The sequence below is a fragment of the Homo sapiens genome, chromosome 1 (genome assembly GCF_000001405.40).
Source record: "Homo sapiens chromosome 1, GRCh38.p14 Primary Assembly".
NCBI lineage: Eukaryota > Metazoa > Chordata > Mammalia > Primates > Hominidae > Homo > Homo sapiens.
The window spans coordinates 78,882,590-78,898,692 of record NC_000001.11 but is presented as its reverse complement, the minus strand read 5'-3'; the positions used below and the strand labels follow the sequence as shown (position 1 = coordinate 78,898,692).

The 16,103-nt window shown below is 33.8% G+C and overlaps 1 protein-coding gene across 1 annotated transcript in view; it reads left to right on the top strand.

Moving 5' to 3' along the window:
- The window catches only part of ADGRL4 (adhesion G protein-coupled receptor L4), a 116,967-nt gene extending 108,038 nt beyond the window's left edge, over positions 1 to 8,929 (top strand). The window contains exons 13-15 of the mRNA NM_022159.4: positions 5,504 to 5,595; positions 7,001 to 7,169; positions 7,477 to 8,929. Coding sequence (NP_071442.2) covers positions 5,504 to 5,595; positions 7,001 to 7,169; positions 7,477 to 7,539 — 324 coding nt within the window. The 3' untranslated portion in view covers positions 7,540 to 8,929. The remainder of the gene's footprint in view (positions 1 to 5,503; positions 5,596 to 7,000; positions 7,170 to 7,476) is intronic.
- Positions 8,930 to 16,103: the final 7,174 nt, after the last annotated feature.

Sequence of the window (16,103 nt, the reverse complement as noted above, 5' to 3'; positions counted from 1 at the left end):
TGTTCATGACTTTGAGTGACTTTTTTTCTTCACAGCTATTTTTATTCTCTTCTGTATTCTGAAGTGCAGCATTGAATTTCAAAGTTCTTATACTTGCCATCTAAGGTCCTTGCCCTGTTTATTTCTATCAAAGTATCATGGAACCCAAGCTGACAATCTGAAATCGTTAAAAAAAAAAAAATGAGACAAAAGTGATAATGAAGGAATATTCATTTACAAATCATTAGTTATCCCTGGTGCTTTTTTGGCACTAACATTTAGAGATTAATAAATGGACCACAGTGGATTAAATAAGCACACACAGATATGCACTAAAGAGTAAAAGTGCATCTCATTTGAAAAGCACTATTTTCTTAATTCAGATGAATACCAATGATTTTTCTTACATTTTAAAGATTTACCCAAGTCTGCTATCATGATATTAGACACTGCCATATAAACATAGTGCTGATAGTATCTTTCTAGCTGTTCAACCCAAAATGGAGACTTTTATCATCTTTCCTCCAAGTCATCACCTCTGGGTTAACTGAAAACTGATTTTTATTATTAAAAATGCTTTCTAATTCTTTATCCTCCTTTTTTGAGGTATCCTTTTTTTTAACCTCATTTCAAACACTTCACACCTATTTCATAAAATTCCCCAAAGATATTTTTCCATACCGTGTAAACTTTATTTCCACCTCTAGGTACATAAACTCATGTGCCTTTAGATGTCTTTAGGTGATACTGATTCTTTATTTAAAGCTTTGACACTGTTAGAAAAAGGATTTGAAGTAGCTTATATATTTATGGATAAAAAGAGGACACAGAAAATATAAACGAGTAAATGTGAGTTTTGCCAGTTACCTCAAATTTGCTGAATATTTTAATATGACATTAGGGGTAACTGGGAAAACTTACATTTTTCTTTATTTACCCCAACTTTGCTGAATATTGTAATATGACTTTGGATCATATCATTCAGGAAATTTTGAGTAATGAAAGAAAAACATATTCTAAATAATTTTAGATAAGTATTTTTTCTGGCAAAAGTTATTATTCTGATACAAAGTTAAAGAAAAAACTTGTTATGACTGTTGTTAATGGCATGGGAGACTTTATTCAGGACTACTGTGATAGGTGTCAAAACTATGGCAGGGGAGAGGCAGATTGGCCCAACTCTGAAATCAGGGGATTTATAGCCAAGGTGCAAGTTAAGGGTAATGGAATAATTACTGAGAAGAGACAACATGGGTAAGAGGAATTCTTGCTAAACTGACTTAACAGGATTCCTACTGAATGGCAAGCCAGGGTGAGCAAATATCAAGGATGTGAGTTGAAGAATTTGATTAGGTATTAAGAACAATCAGGTATCAGAAGTGAGGAGATTCTCTCTAAACTGACTTATCAGAAATTTTACTAAAACTGGACTCCACAAGATCAGACACTGAAGCCCAAAGTCAAGGCTTAACTAGTAGTGAAGGGGACTCACAGGAACCTGGCTAAAGCTTGGTCAAGGAGAGTGTCAGTTTTTTAATGACAAAGGCAAGGGAAGAATATGTTGGCCTACAAAGTTTGCATTGTACAAAACAGTAAAGAATACTCATCATTCTCTACATTTCCATAAAATTGAACTTAGGTCTGATTTTATCATTTGAGTTTCAGTTTTTTTAATATAAGCACATGGCAGGGAGTATGTAGGCAAGATGGCATTTAAACAGAGTGATGAGGGTATGAGCCATGGGAATATCTTAGTGCCCAAATTCAACTGCCCTATGGCATGGTGCATGGGGTACTGGAGAAACTATGATGAACTCACTGTGAGTGGAGTGAAGTGGTCAAAAGATAGAGAAGTAACGCTTGGGGGAAGAGGTATAGCAGAGATCAAATCATTCAGACCTTAAAAGCCACTGTGCAATCTTTTATTTTAACTCTGAATGACATAGGAAGCCATTGGAGGATTCTGAACAGTGAAAAGATCTGACTTACATTTTAAAGAGATCAGTCTGACTGTTATTATGAGATAGATTATAGGAAGATAAGGATGGCAGAAGAGAGATCAATTAGGAGGTTTCTGAAGTAGCACAGAGGAGGCATGATGGTGGCCCGTTTCAGGATAGTGTCTGTGGAAATGGTAAGTAGTTAGTGGTCATATTCTGAACATGTTTTGAAGGTAGAAATAAAGAGTTCACTGACTGATAACTTAGAAGAGTAAGATAACATTTTTTTGAGATGGGGAAGATTGCAGAAAAAAATAGGTTATTTGCAGGAAGAACAGCAGTTTGGTTTTTGACTTTTCTTTAACTCACAATGCCTATTAGACTTCCAAATGGAGGAGTTAGATTGGGCCAAAGGACAGACAAAACAGACATGTAAGATTAGAATGAAGGTTTAGGAAGTACCTGTCTTGGGACTTAGCATTTAAACTAGAATTTAATCAGTTATAATGAATTAGTAGATCAAATAATGAAGGGACAAAAAGTATTCTATAGAGAAAAACAGCATAGGAAAATCCTCAAGGCTTGAGGAGCTAAGAAAGTGATATTCCTATAAACAATTGATAAAGGCGGCAGGAGTATAGTAAACAAAGGGAAGAGTGGCATGAACCATTGGGTCTGATCACCTAGGAAGTGAGAGTACATAAATAGGTTCAATGATTGCTGTTCACAGTAATCATTTATTTCTCTGTGTTGTCCTCCTTCGCCTCTACTGGTCATTCAAGACTGCTTAGAAATCCCTATTTAAGGTGCAGTCTCCTGTGTTCTTTCATGAAACTATGTAAACAACTACCTGGTGCTTTCTGAGTCGTGTTGCACTTGCCTGTTTTCTGGTCATCTCCTCCAGCATACTATAGGTTCTTTAAGGAGAAAGCCTACAGTACATAAATAATTATTGAACAAAACAGCAAATAAACCTTTGCACTTCAAATAAAATCTAAGTGATAATTGTCCCTGTCCTCCTCACCCAACTCATGTCATGCCACTCGTCGCTTTGCTTACTATACTCCAGCCATCTTTATCAATTGTTTGTAGGAATATCACTTTCTTAGCTCCTCAAGCCTTGAAGATTTTCCTATGCTGTTTTTCTCTGTAGAATACTTTTTTTCCCTTCATTATTTGATCTACTAATGCATCATAACTGATTAAATCCAGGTTTAAATGCTAAGTCCCAAGACAGGTACTTCCTAAACCTTCATTCTAGTCTTACATGTCCATTTTGTCTCTCCTAACAATTCTAATTTGTGAATTAATAGCATTTATCACAGTTTGTAGATTTATAAGGATTGTATGATTATTTGTTTACTATCTGTTTCTCAATAGAATATATGAGAACAAAAGACCATGTCTGTTTTAATCATCAGTAGGTACCTAGCCCTTGCCACTGCACCAGACACTTAATAGGCCCTTTAAAAAAATTCTTAGCATAAGTGAAAATAAAAAGTTCCGCATATTTGTATTATTATCAATGAATGTGGATAATATAATCAGTATATTTGTGATTTTTGGATAACATGAAACTATAACGCCTTTTGATAAACATGTTTTAATCTGTTTTCTCTTAAATTTGGAAAAATATGAGCTAATGGAATAAGAATTAGTCTCCCACTTGCCCAGCAGCACCTGGGTTTTATAAGTATGTAAACATTTTCCATTTTTACAGAAAAAATGTACTTTCAAGATTTGGATCACCTCAGGGAATGTTCCATTTCCTCTCTTCACTAGTTCAGCATGTGATGTAGAAGAGCATATCCAAAATGAATGTGAACTTCTGAGAAACCATTAGCAGTATGAGCAACTATTTTTCAAACTCAGTTTTATTGAAAACAGAAGTTTAAGAAACTTAAATAAATTACTATTTATGTGGAAAACTTGTGGATCTAGAGAACAGCTTTTCTCGTCATTTACTTTATCTTCTAAGTCTTTCTTTGTTGAGATAGCAAGATCAATATAAATACCTCATAAAAATTATTTAAAGTTTTTCAAACCAATAATGGGTAGGCATATATTATTTAGACTAACCAAATTTTACAACTCTTATTTGTAAATATATGTGCATATATTTATAAAATTAAATACAGTTGTTTCCAAATTTATACAAAGAAGCTATAGCTATTGAAATCTAGAAAATACTAAGTATTCCAGTTTCATGAGTATGAAAGACTACTTATAAAATTAAATATTATTTAATTGTCATTTCAGTTAATTATTTGAGCATACAAAGAGGATGGAACTATCACCTAAATCAATTTAAATATTCTTTATCTCACCTCTACAATTGCTAAAGTATGGAAGCATTACTATAATTAGGATTAATTACTCATATAATTAGAAGTAATGGACATTTGGAAACAGGAAATAGAGACTAGACCCCTTATTCTTCCGAGATTTCCTCTCAAGGACCCCTCCATACAAAAGTGGCAACATGAAATTCTCAGGCCCATTATTTTATACTGCTGTTTGTAATACTACAATATGCTAAATTTCATTTTGAGAGGCTACATAAAACTCATTAGAAGATAGAAAAAAGAAATGTTTTAAAACTGTAAGCTTCTGAATTACTAGTAGAAGAATTAGCTGAAAATTATAATGTTGCACTTTGTTGTTGTCATTTCAAAGTGTCTTTGGAAAAATCTGCTTGAATTAATAAAATAGATTTCATAAGGGATTAGCCTTCCAACTATTTCTATAATATTTAATATTTTAAATTATTGGCATGCTCATATTAGACTATCTATACATTTAACATATACCCTTCATTTAGCCTTCTAACACTGCAAATATGACTTGGAGGTCTTCAAAACTATAGAAAAAGGAAAATAAGAGGCAACTTTTCATAATGCAGTCACAATAAAAAGGGTGACAACTCTCCAATTCTATTTAGCCCATATTACAAAATACAAATAATAGAATGTGTTAACATTTATTTGCCTAACAACAAACATTTAATTCATTGATTAACATTTTGAAAGCATCCACGGTTAAATCAAGGAAAAAGAAATATTAACATTTGTATTAGGAGAGAATCTAGATAAATCATACGAGAGAAAGTACATTCAAACATTTCCTCACATTAGAAACTGAGAGTGTTTTGTTGAGTTTTCTTATTTCTTTTCAATCTTTCAATTTTTCTTTTCCAGTCTAAATTTTTAAAGGGTTCACGGAATTATCACTAACACATTTCTTCAAAGAAACAGTATAGAAATTACTGAACAAAAATTTGCTTTCTTTAGTGTTTATAAAGCTTTCCAAACCAAAATTTAACTTAATGTATATATTAATCATATTAGTGGCAGCAGATGATACTCATCAATCTTTAGGTATGATGATAACATCTGAAGAAGTTTCATAAACAGGTTGCTTTCGGTACCACTTGTACTGATAATTTTCAGTGATATTGTAAAGAACTATATAAATGCCATGATTTTTAGTTTCTATCTTATTGAAATCTTTACCATTTATTTTCTTTATATGTATCCAATTTAAGATGAAAACTATCTCTTCTTTGAAATTAATTCTTTTTCCAGGTTAATCTCTTGGCTTTTGGAGTCATCATATACAAAGTTTTTCGTCACACTGCAGGGTTGAAACCAGAAGTTAGTTGCTTTGAGAACATAAGGTAAATGCGTCTTTAAGTTCACTTTTTTTTTTTTTTTTTGGTAATTAAAAGCTTTAGTAACTCAAAGTACAAATAATTTGGGGAATTATTTTTAAATGATTGTTTCATACTTTACCATATTTAAAAGACGCATCGGAAAATAGCATTTAGTATGTATATTAAGACTACAATTACTGCAGATTCAGTGGTAAGAAGCAATTTTTTCAAACATACACCCCTTTGAAAGGGAAAAGACGATGACTGTGTTTTAAGGCAAGGAAGGCCTTAGTGATTTTCTTTTGTAAAATGCTTTTCAGAACTTAGTAACTGTTTCTTTCTTGTTATCCCTAGTTTGCATGTTGTCATGATTTTTCCTTTACACCCACCCTCCCGCTTTAAAACTGATTTATTGAAACCTTGAAAATGATTTGTTCAGGAAGAGCTGAATTATACTATAGGGAACACTGGAAACCAAGGACTATTTGTGTTGCTTGGGAACACTCCTGTAGTTTCAATACTTTGCACAAGATTTATAGTTGGGATTTAATAAATGTTTGATCGATTACTTTCTTTTAGTCCTCACCAGTTATGGTTTCATGTAGTGTACTGGTTTTAATAAAGTTGAAAATGACTCATTTTCTGAGGTACACTGCTAAAACATCTGCTGCAATAAAGAATGACTGGACTAAAAATGAATGAGAGAATAATCATTAGTTGCTTCATTTCCAAGGCAATGTCCTTAGTGAGCAGGGTAGAATATTGTTTTACCAAAAGTCACAGGCATTCTGCTGAAAAGATGTAAGAGTGCGTATGTGTGTGTATTTTTTCTTTAATTTTTAAGAAAACAGTATTCTGTGATGAATTTATTTTGACATATTTTTGTATTGCAAAAGCAAAACAAAATAAAACAAAACCCTATTTTTATATCCTACACGTTCGTTTCTTCTCAACCTGAAAGAAAAGCAGAGCCTCCTTTGATGTAGTAGATATGTGCTGACCCCAGTCCACATGGTATACTTTCTTTTCGGAGTTTCTTAGGGAAAATACTTCCTAACAGATATATGTCTTACCTTTGGGAATTCCTGCAACATTACATTTGAAATCAAAGCATGCACACTGCAGTACACCAGACAAAAATATTTTAAGGTGAAGGAAATTACTTAATCTTAAACATAATAACATGTTTTGGTAACAGCAATTTGACTTTGGAAGCACACCCCTGCCACGGTTCAGTAGCAGCAACATACCCTAAATGCTGTCACACCTAACTGCAGCACAACTTAGCAGTTTGGAAATTCTATTGGGTCTATTTGTAAAAGGTTTCTTGGTTATACTGAAAACTCACCTCCCACATAATTTGAGTAATTTGGGAGATATGTTGACTATACGTAGCTTTCTTCACTGACGCATTTCTCATATGTGATAGGTCTTGTGCAAGAGGAGCCCTCGCTCTTCTGTTCCTTCTCGGCACCACCTGGATCTTTGGGGTTCTCCATGTTGTGCACGCATCAGTGGTTACAGCTTACCTCTTCACAGTCAGCAATGCTTTCCAGGGGATGTTCATTTTTTTATTCCTGTGTGTTTTATCTAGAAAGGTAAACAATTTCTTATTTTGGTGGTTCCTAGTATATTCATGTAACATCAGTTGCCAAATTGATAGAAAATTCTTACTCTCATAGATTTATGACTTCTGCCTTTATTGCCTAAATCGCCTAGCTGTTCATAGGAAAATATGCTTTTAAAAGAACCTTGGTATTAGGGATATAAATATAACTTAAATGGACATATTCTGAGCTATAATACTTTAGAAAACCATATGTAACAATTTATTGTGATTTGAAAAAGAAATTAAATGTGATTGTTATGATTAACATTTCTTCCTTTCCTTTTTTTAATTTTTAGATTCAAGAAGAATATTACAGATTGTTCAAAAATGTCCCCTGTTGTTTTGGATGTTTAAGGTAAACATAGAGAATGGTGGATAATTACAACTGCACAAAAATAAAAATTCCAAGCTGTGGATGACCAATGTATAAAAATGACTCATCAAATTATCCAATTATTAACTACTAGACAAAAAGTATTTTAAATCAGTTTTTCTGTTTATGCTATAGGAACTGTAGATAATAAGGTAAAATTATGTATCATATAGATATACTATGTTTTTCTATGTGAAATAGTTCTGTCAAAAATAGTATTGCAGATATTTGGAAAGTAATTGGTTTCTCAGGAGTGATATCACTGCACCCAAGGAAAGATTTTCTTTCTAACACGAGAAGTATATGAATGTCCTGAAGGAAACCACTGGCTTGATATTTCTGTGACTCGTGTTGCCTTTGAAACTAGTCCCCTACCACCTCGGTAATGAGCTCCATTACAGAAAGTGGAACATAAGAGAATGAAGGGGCAGAATATCAAACAGTGAAAAGGGAATGATAAGATGTATTTTGAATGAACTGTTTTTTCTGTAGACTAGCTGAGAAATTGTTGACATAAAATAAAGAATTGAAGAAACACATTTTACCATTTTGTGAATTGTTCTGAACTTAAATGTCCACTAAAACAACTTAGACTTCTGTTTGCTAAATCTGTTTCTTTTTCTAATATTCTAAAAAAAAAAAAAAGGTTTACCTCCACAAATTGAAAAAAAAAAAGTGAAAAAAATCTGTTTCTAAGGTTAGACTGAGATATATACTATTTCCTTACTTATTTCACAGATTGTGACTTTGGATAGTTAATCAGTAAAATATAAATGTGTCAAGATATAATATTGTTTATACCTATCAATGTAAAAACAGTGTAATAAAGCTGAAGTATTCTATTACCTTTCAGTGAAGTGAAAGTTATACTATCTCATTAGTATATTTGAATCCTTTATTATTTTTAATTTTATAAATATCACAGTTCACATTGCAATATTCCCTTTAATTTACTATTTTTAAAGGGGTATTGTAAATATGAAAGTATTTATAAAGTGAATTGCTATTTTTTCTGTTCAGAAAAGTACACACTTAAAATTGTTATTGTTAACAATGTGTAAACACATTTAAAATTGTTATTGTTAACAAAGAAATCATGGAGAACTGTAGAGGTTTTCACAGTGGATCCATTTTCTGACAGTTTTCTACTATCTATTAAATCATATCTGCTTAAATATATAGCTTCTATCTGTCTTTAAATCTTCTCATTAAAATGTATAAGCAGTGATTTTGATCTCAAAAATAGGTAATTTTTCTTTGCCGACCTGTAAAAGTGTGCCAATACACTAAATTTGTGATTTTAAATTAATTCCTCCAGCTGTTGAAATGAAGTCTGCCAAATCTTGCTCTAACAAATAAAATGTTATCTAAATGAAGTAATTCCGCTACAGCTTTGCTGAATTCCTGTTCTCAAGAAAGATGAGCTACCTGCCAAGGGTCTTTTACATTTTTAGGGAATCCATGATAATAACTTCTCATTATCTTCTAATTTCTTACATGGTAAGCCTGTGACCTATTATTATCAGTGCCATTGCAGGATAATGTTATAGAAATGTGATATTGAAAATACTCATCTGTTTAATAGATATATTCAAAACTTCCCGTGGTAGACAGAATAATGCCCCCTCCCAAAAAAATGTCCATGCCCTAATCTTCAGAACCTCTTAATATGGTAGATTACATGGTGAGGAGAATTAAAGTTGCAGATGAAATTAAGGCTATTAATCAGCTGACCTTGAGATGAGGAGATGATTCTAGATTATCCGGGTGGGCCCAGTGTCATCACAATGTCCTTATAAGTGAAGGAGAGATTCAGAAGAAGGGCAGGAGTTACAGTGATGCAGTGTGGCGCAGACTCTACCAGCCATTGCTGGCATTGAAATGGAACTCCACAAACCAAGAAATGAGGACAGCCTCTAGAAGCAGAAAAAGGCTTGAAATGTATTCTTCCCTGGCATCTCCAGAAGGGAGTCAGCCCTGCTGATAACTTTGTTTTAGCTCAGGGAAACCTATTTCAGACTTCTAAACTCCAGACCTATAAGATAATAAGTTTATGGTGTCTTAAGCCGAGTTTGTGAATAATTTGTTACAGCAGCCATTAGGAATGAATACGATGGAAATATTTATGTAATAAGATCTTTGGAGATGAACTACTGTTCAGATCATTAGGGCAAGCACTCACCCAACTGTCTTCTTTTCATCCACCTTTTCATAGATATCATTGGACAAAGCTTATATTTGTTAGTATGACAGTTAAGAGCTTCTCATATCTACTTTCCTCCCCAGTTTTCATTTTTGCCTGACAAGTTTATTCAGTTATACCAAACACTTTACCTTTCCCCAAATTTGCCATGGTTTACCGAATTCCCCTTTTCTGGAATTTCGTCCTTGTGACAATCATTACTCTGGCAAATATTACTTGCCCTTAATGCATCTTTCTTTAGGAAGCCTTCTCTGACTCACACAAGGAATTAATCATTTCTACCTTTGTCTCACCACTCTATCTAGTACTTATCTATTTAACATTTATTACACTGTATTGTAATTATTCAGCCCAGCTCAGGACATTCACTGGATGGTGTTCTGTTATTTCTTAAACACAGGTACCCTTTTTATTTTGGGTTTCCTGAATCGATGTTACTTATTTTCTGTTGCTTCCTGACCACATGTTTGATGTCATAAGAGGTCTGCACCCTCTGAACAATCTGGCCTTTGCTCTTTTGCTTTACCTATTCCGTTCTGGAAGCCCACTTAGCCAAGCCTTTCATGCTTGTCTCACACACACCATGCAATTAGGTGGAAAGGGATGACCCAGCAACTTCAAATTAGTAAAGTAGAGAAGGCAGAGTAATTAGGTGAGCAATATAGCTTTGAGCATATATTATTCAATTCAGTTTTTTCAGAAAAGACATTTTTGGAGGATTTGTAAGGAGCTTACCAAAATAATAAAGTTATGCTTCATTTTCCATTTGGTTGTCTTTCCTCATGTTATTCCTTATTCCACTTCCTCATTTGATAGTGAGTTAGGTAAATATTAAGATTTGAGACTCAACCACCTTAACCTGTAAAATATGTCACAAGATCATCAGTAAATACTAAATTACAAACTCTTCTTCACAAACAAACAAAGGGGGAGTTATAAAATCTCAGAAGATTCAATCAAATAACTTAATACTTTAAGCTTGGCCTAAAGCAATGAGATGGACAGACACCAGGGAAGTATAAGATAAATTCTCTGACTGTGTGAAAACTTGCTATTAACTAGAGATGTAATAATCCCCTAATAAAAAATATCTGTTCGTCAACCGATTACACTGTAGTTGGGAAAATTTTATTTACATGCAATATAATAATTAGAAATAACATGAGGGTCTATAAACAAATAATCCACAATCTTCATACTAGGCATAACTAATAAGCCTTTCATAATTTGATGATGACATCATTTATTCAGTCCTTTTCAATTTAATGCTAGCCCCATAAAATTAAATGCTGACTCTGCATCATTAATTTTCTATATATTCTATCTAACTTTCTACACACATCTTCACTGCCCTACAAAATAGGACCCATTTGTATGTATCACATTATTGTCTAATTTCTCCAACATGAAATTTTTGAGGGAAGCATGAATTATGAATTCAGTATGAATCCAGAAATAGTACCCCATTGTTCAAGTTTTCCCCCTACCTGGAATGTCTTCTCAATGCAAATTTTACCCATCATTCAAGACTTCACATTATGAAGCTCTCTGGTCAATTTGGTCCTTATTAATTTCCACAATCGCTACCACTATAGCACTTACAGGGTGTACATGATAACATAACACTTAATAAGAATCATTGTAAAGTCATCATTCAGTGCTCAAGCTTCAAGTTCCTAGGTTTTAGATTACAGATAGGAGTTAAATAACTTGGTAAAGGCATTTAAAGAAAATATTTCTTTCTTGAACGTTGATACAGTTTTAAATAGTTAAACTGTGCTATCCCATTTAATTCTCACACTAACATATGCAATTCTATCCTTATCTTTTCAACGTGAAAAGTGTCTAATGTCACACAGGTAGGAAATAGCAAAGTTAGTTTTCAAACTCAAAGCTACAGCTCCTGCTGCTCCCCTATAGGAGCTCTCACAAACTTGCTCAGACTCAGATAAGGATTGAAAATGGCTGGATTCATACCCAAGCTTTCTGCCTCTGTAGGGTATATTCCACAGCTATACATTTGTATAGTGTAAGGATAATATTCCAGTTTACAATTATGTTCTCTTGAGGCTAGAGGAAGCATGACATACTTTTTTATTTTTTCTTTGACACCGAGTCTTGCCCTTGTTGCCCAGGCTGGAGTGCAATGGCACTATCTCGGCTCACTGCAACCTCCACCTCCTGAGTTCAAGTGATTCTCTTACCTCCACCTCCTGAGTAGCTAGGATTACAGGCACGCGCCACCACGCCCAGCTAATTTTTTTGTAATTTTAGTAGAGACAGGGTTTCTCCATCATGGCCAGGATGGTCTCAATCTCTTGACCTTGTGATCAGCCCGCCTTGTCCTCCCAAAGTGCTGGGATTACAGGCTTGAGCCACCGCACCCAGCCGACATACTTTTTTAACATGGGATTTTAATGTCTTTTCTACATGCATCTGTGATTTGAAATAAGTGCATAGCATAAGTTTTAAGTTAATGTGTTTTTATTCTTTTTCTCTCGCTTCGCTGCCCTTTCCTTGCACATTTATTCCCATCCCCCATTCCTACTCACACCCTCAACCAGGCAATTCATGTTAACCAACTGGCATATATTCTTGCATATTGTTCTTCCTGTTCATATCATCTTATTGAGAACGTTAATATGACATCACATTATAATAATGCCTACGTTACCTGCTTTTCTCACTTGCTAAATTAACAAGTATAGCCCATTAATTCATTTAATGGCTGAATAATATTTTGTATTGAGGATGTACCATAATTGCACAGCTGATATACAATCTGAACTAATGCAATAATATATTGGAAGAGCTCACTGCCTTTCAAAAATAATGTTCCCTATGCCATACGGCTTGGTTTTGTTGTTGAAAATACCAAATGCTAATGTTGTTTTTTTTCTTAAGATGAATGTGGACCCATGTTGATGAGCCAAAACATCATAACCCTTTCATTGATATAAAGGTTGTTTGATGTTTCTAGTAAGTATTCAGTGAAAATCATACTATGGATTTGAGATCCACAAAGCTCCTTGAGCATTTTCATTTAAGTGAAAAGGATTTGAATTATTTACCCTACATTGATGGCTTGAGCAAGCATTAAGATTGGTAAGCAATCTGAAAGTGCAGAACATTTTACCTGGTATTTCATTCAGACATTGCACATCACAGGTTTGTGTGATAGTTATGATTAATATAAAATGAGAGGGTTAGTTTAGCTGCAACGGATCTCTTCTGGTGCCAATGTACTATGTTTCTAATTCCAACCCCCCATTTGAGGCAATGTAAATAATAAGGTCTACAAAGTATATTACAATTTTATGCCCTCAAAAATAAGGGAAAAAATAATAGGTTTCTTTCAAAATTGTCCTTAAGAAATGTGGTTTTATTTCCTATCAGGCTGCAATTTGCTGTATATCAACATCTAAGGGCCAGGCAGCTCAACCTGAAAATGATTATTTTCTTTCTTTTTCTTAATGTATCAGAAAGTGGATCTAAAAGAACCTTCAGTATGCAGGGGGGTTAATTATCTTGGCAGTCAGTTAAGCTTTGGAAGTTTTAGGTGATAAGAACAGAGCCCTAAAAAAGACTCCCTGCTACTGCTGCCTGCTGTGAAGAAACAGCCATGTGTTGCCACCACTGCAAATATCGCTCGAATTACCCTAAAATTCCCCTGCTTTTCTGTGCATCCTGGCTCCTGGAGAGCGGCACTGTGCCAGTGAGGTCATTTATTCTGTCACTTCAGCCCACACGGCAATCATGACAACTACAACTTTCACTCAATCTAATGCAGGAGGCTTTTCTGCAAGACCTTAGATGACCCAAGTGAGGAATGTAATTATTCAAAACAACAGTGTTTCTTGTTCCTCAAGTGCTGCCAACTTCTCTGCAGAGCCACCTAAATGCTCCCCAATTTTATCTTCCCACTCAGATCAATTTCTCAGATTCTCCTAAAGGGGTGTGTAAATAAACAATCACCTCTCACATTTTAGAACTTTACTTTCAGAGAGGCAGTAACAGCGGTGTGGATGCAAGCTCAGATTCTGCAGTCAGACCACCTTGGCTAGAATTCCCTTCCTAACAGAGTTGGTTGTATAACCTTGGGCAAGTTACAACCCTAGACCTCAGTTTATCACCTAGGAAATAGAGATAACAATGATATAATGTTGTTTTCAGAATTAAATCACTTAATATATGGAAGACAATTAATACAATGATTAGCACATGGCACGTGGTATCTAAGTATTAGCTATTGTTATTATAACCCTCATGAACAATTACTGACCATGCACTTACCAGGTACTAGTGACTGTTCTCAGTATGTGGTGGAGTTAACCAGTAAAAATCATGAAAACTGAGAAAAAATAAACATAAATATCTTGTTCAAAGTGAAGATCTCCACATTATTGATTTATCAGCAAGTTATTTCTGAAACAAGCAAGGAAACAGTAAAAACAAAAGTGAATAATAATAAAGTCAAACTGTAGATTTACTTTCTTTATTTTCTATCATCCCCCAATCTAGTTTCTCCCACCGCCCCCCCATTTCACCCCACCCAAAAACTCCAACTTCAAGTTTCATTGCCCTCTAATATGGAGCTGGAAGTATGCCAAAAAGAAGTTTAAATGTTCGACTTTGTTGATGTGTTCTCTGGAGTGCGGTTGCAGCCCAGGTCCCACATTCTCTGTATACACAGAAATCCTGCCCCTGCAGGTGCTAATGTACTTCAGTTACAATTAAAGTGGTTTTACTGTAAAAAATTTTCATCAATATATTTTTATTTAAATATAATTATTATTAGCATTTACATGAAGCTAAAAAATATTTTCTCTTCTTTAAACATAGTGCACATAAACAAAGACATTTTATTATTCTCAGCTTTCCACGTACTACCATAAATAAGGAAAAAATTTACACTGGCATTTGGGTACTTTTTTCAGCGTATTATATATATATAAAGAATATATATATAAAGGATAAATATATATAAAGAATATGTATATAAAGGATAAATATATATAAAGAATATATATATAAAGGATAAATGTATATATTCTCGGTTCAGGACACTTTCCAGTCATTTCATTTACTCTTGCCTAATTTAAGATGACAGAAAGCATGCTCCTTTAAAACACAATCCTGATATCTTTAAAGGAAAAAGCAAATGAGCTATTTTAATACTTGAGAAAAACTGATAAGGGAATTGCCAATAGAAAAGAAGAAATATTCTTTAATAAATACCAATTACTTGTTTGTAAAATGCATTTGGCTTTACCTATTTATGCTATTTAAATGTTCTGCATTGTTTCCTGAACAATAGATTTCTTTGTTACATAAAGGTAATTTCTAGCTTCCATATTTAGTAAACTAGATATTACAAATTTTTTAGATAAAAATTAACTAGAAATTTTATTATTTGCTAATTTGAGAATCCAGATTTCCATTATATCTGCCATCCTCATCTGCCAATCTTGTTATTTTGATGAAGAATGCTTCAGAGATTAGAAACATATTTCTTCATTCTTCTATGCACTAAAGTATAAGACATACTTAGCATTGTGTGATTTTTTTCCAAACAAATTTGCATTCATAGATAGAATAAGCTGAATAAGTCTACATAGCCAAACATTTTTTTCTACTTGCTCCAATAGCACTAACAAATAGGAAGCTCTTGCTTGCTCCCCAAAGCTCCATTTCCTTGAAAGCAGAAGTGTAATATTACTTCTTAGTATCCTCCCATTTTCTTTGTGAGACTCAGAAAAGGTAAATGGATTAATATGTATATTTTTGACTTGGACATGATGTGAATTTCTTACATAAATAATTATGTACATATGGTCATTTTACAAAATGAATTTAAGGTGCTTTACAAAGATGGATAAAATATAAACTGGATAATACAAATATAAAACAAGAGAGTAGAGTCAAAGGAAAAACAAGGGTACTGTCATAAAATGGAGGTAAAAACTTTAATAAAATATGAGTGCTTTATTCACTTAAGTTCTGTCCTGTTATCTGTTGCTGTGTAACAAAACCACTCCTGAATCAAGTGCCTTAAAACAGTGATTCATTATTGTTTCTCACATTTCTGTTGGTTGATTGGCCTCAGCAGTGTAGTTATCACCCAGAGTTTCTCATGCAGCTGTGGTCAGATATTAACTGAGGCTACAGTGATCTGACATGGCTGTCGACTGTAATCTTGACAGCGGCTGCCCACCAAACACCCATTTATGGTCTCTCCATGTTATTTGGGTTTCACACAGCATAGATTCTGGGATTCTTGAGGGAGCATCCTGAAAGCAAGCATTACAAAAGGTTCTAGTAGAGACTGAAAACCTTCTTATTACCTA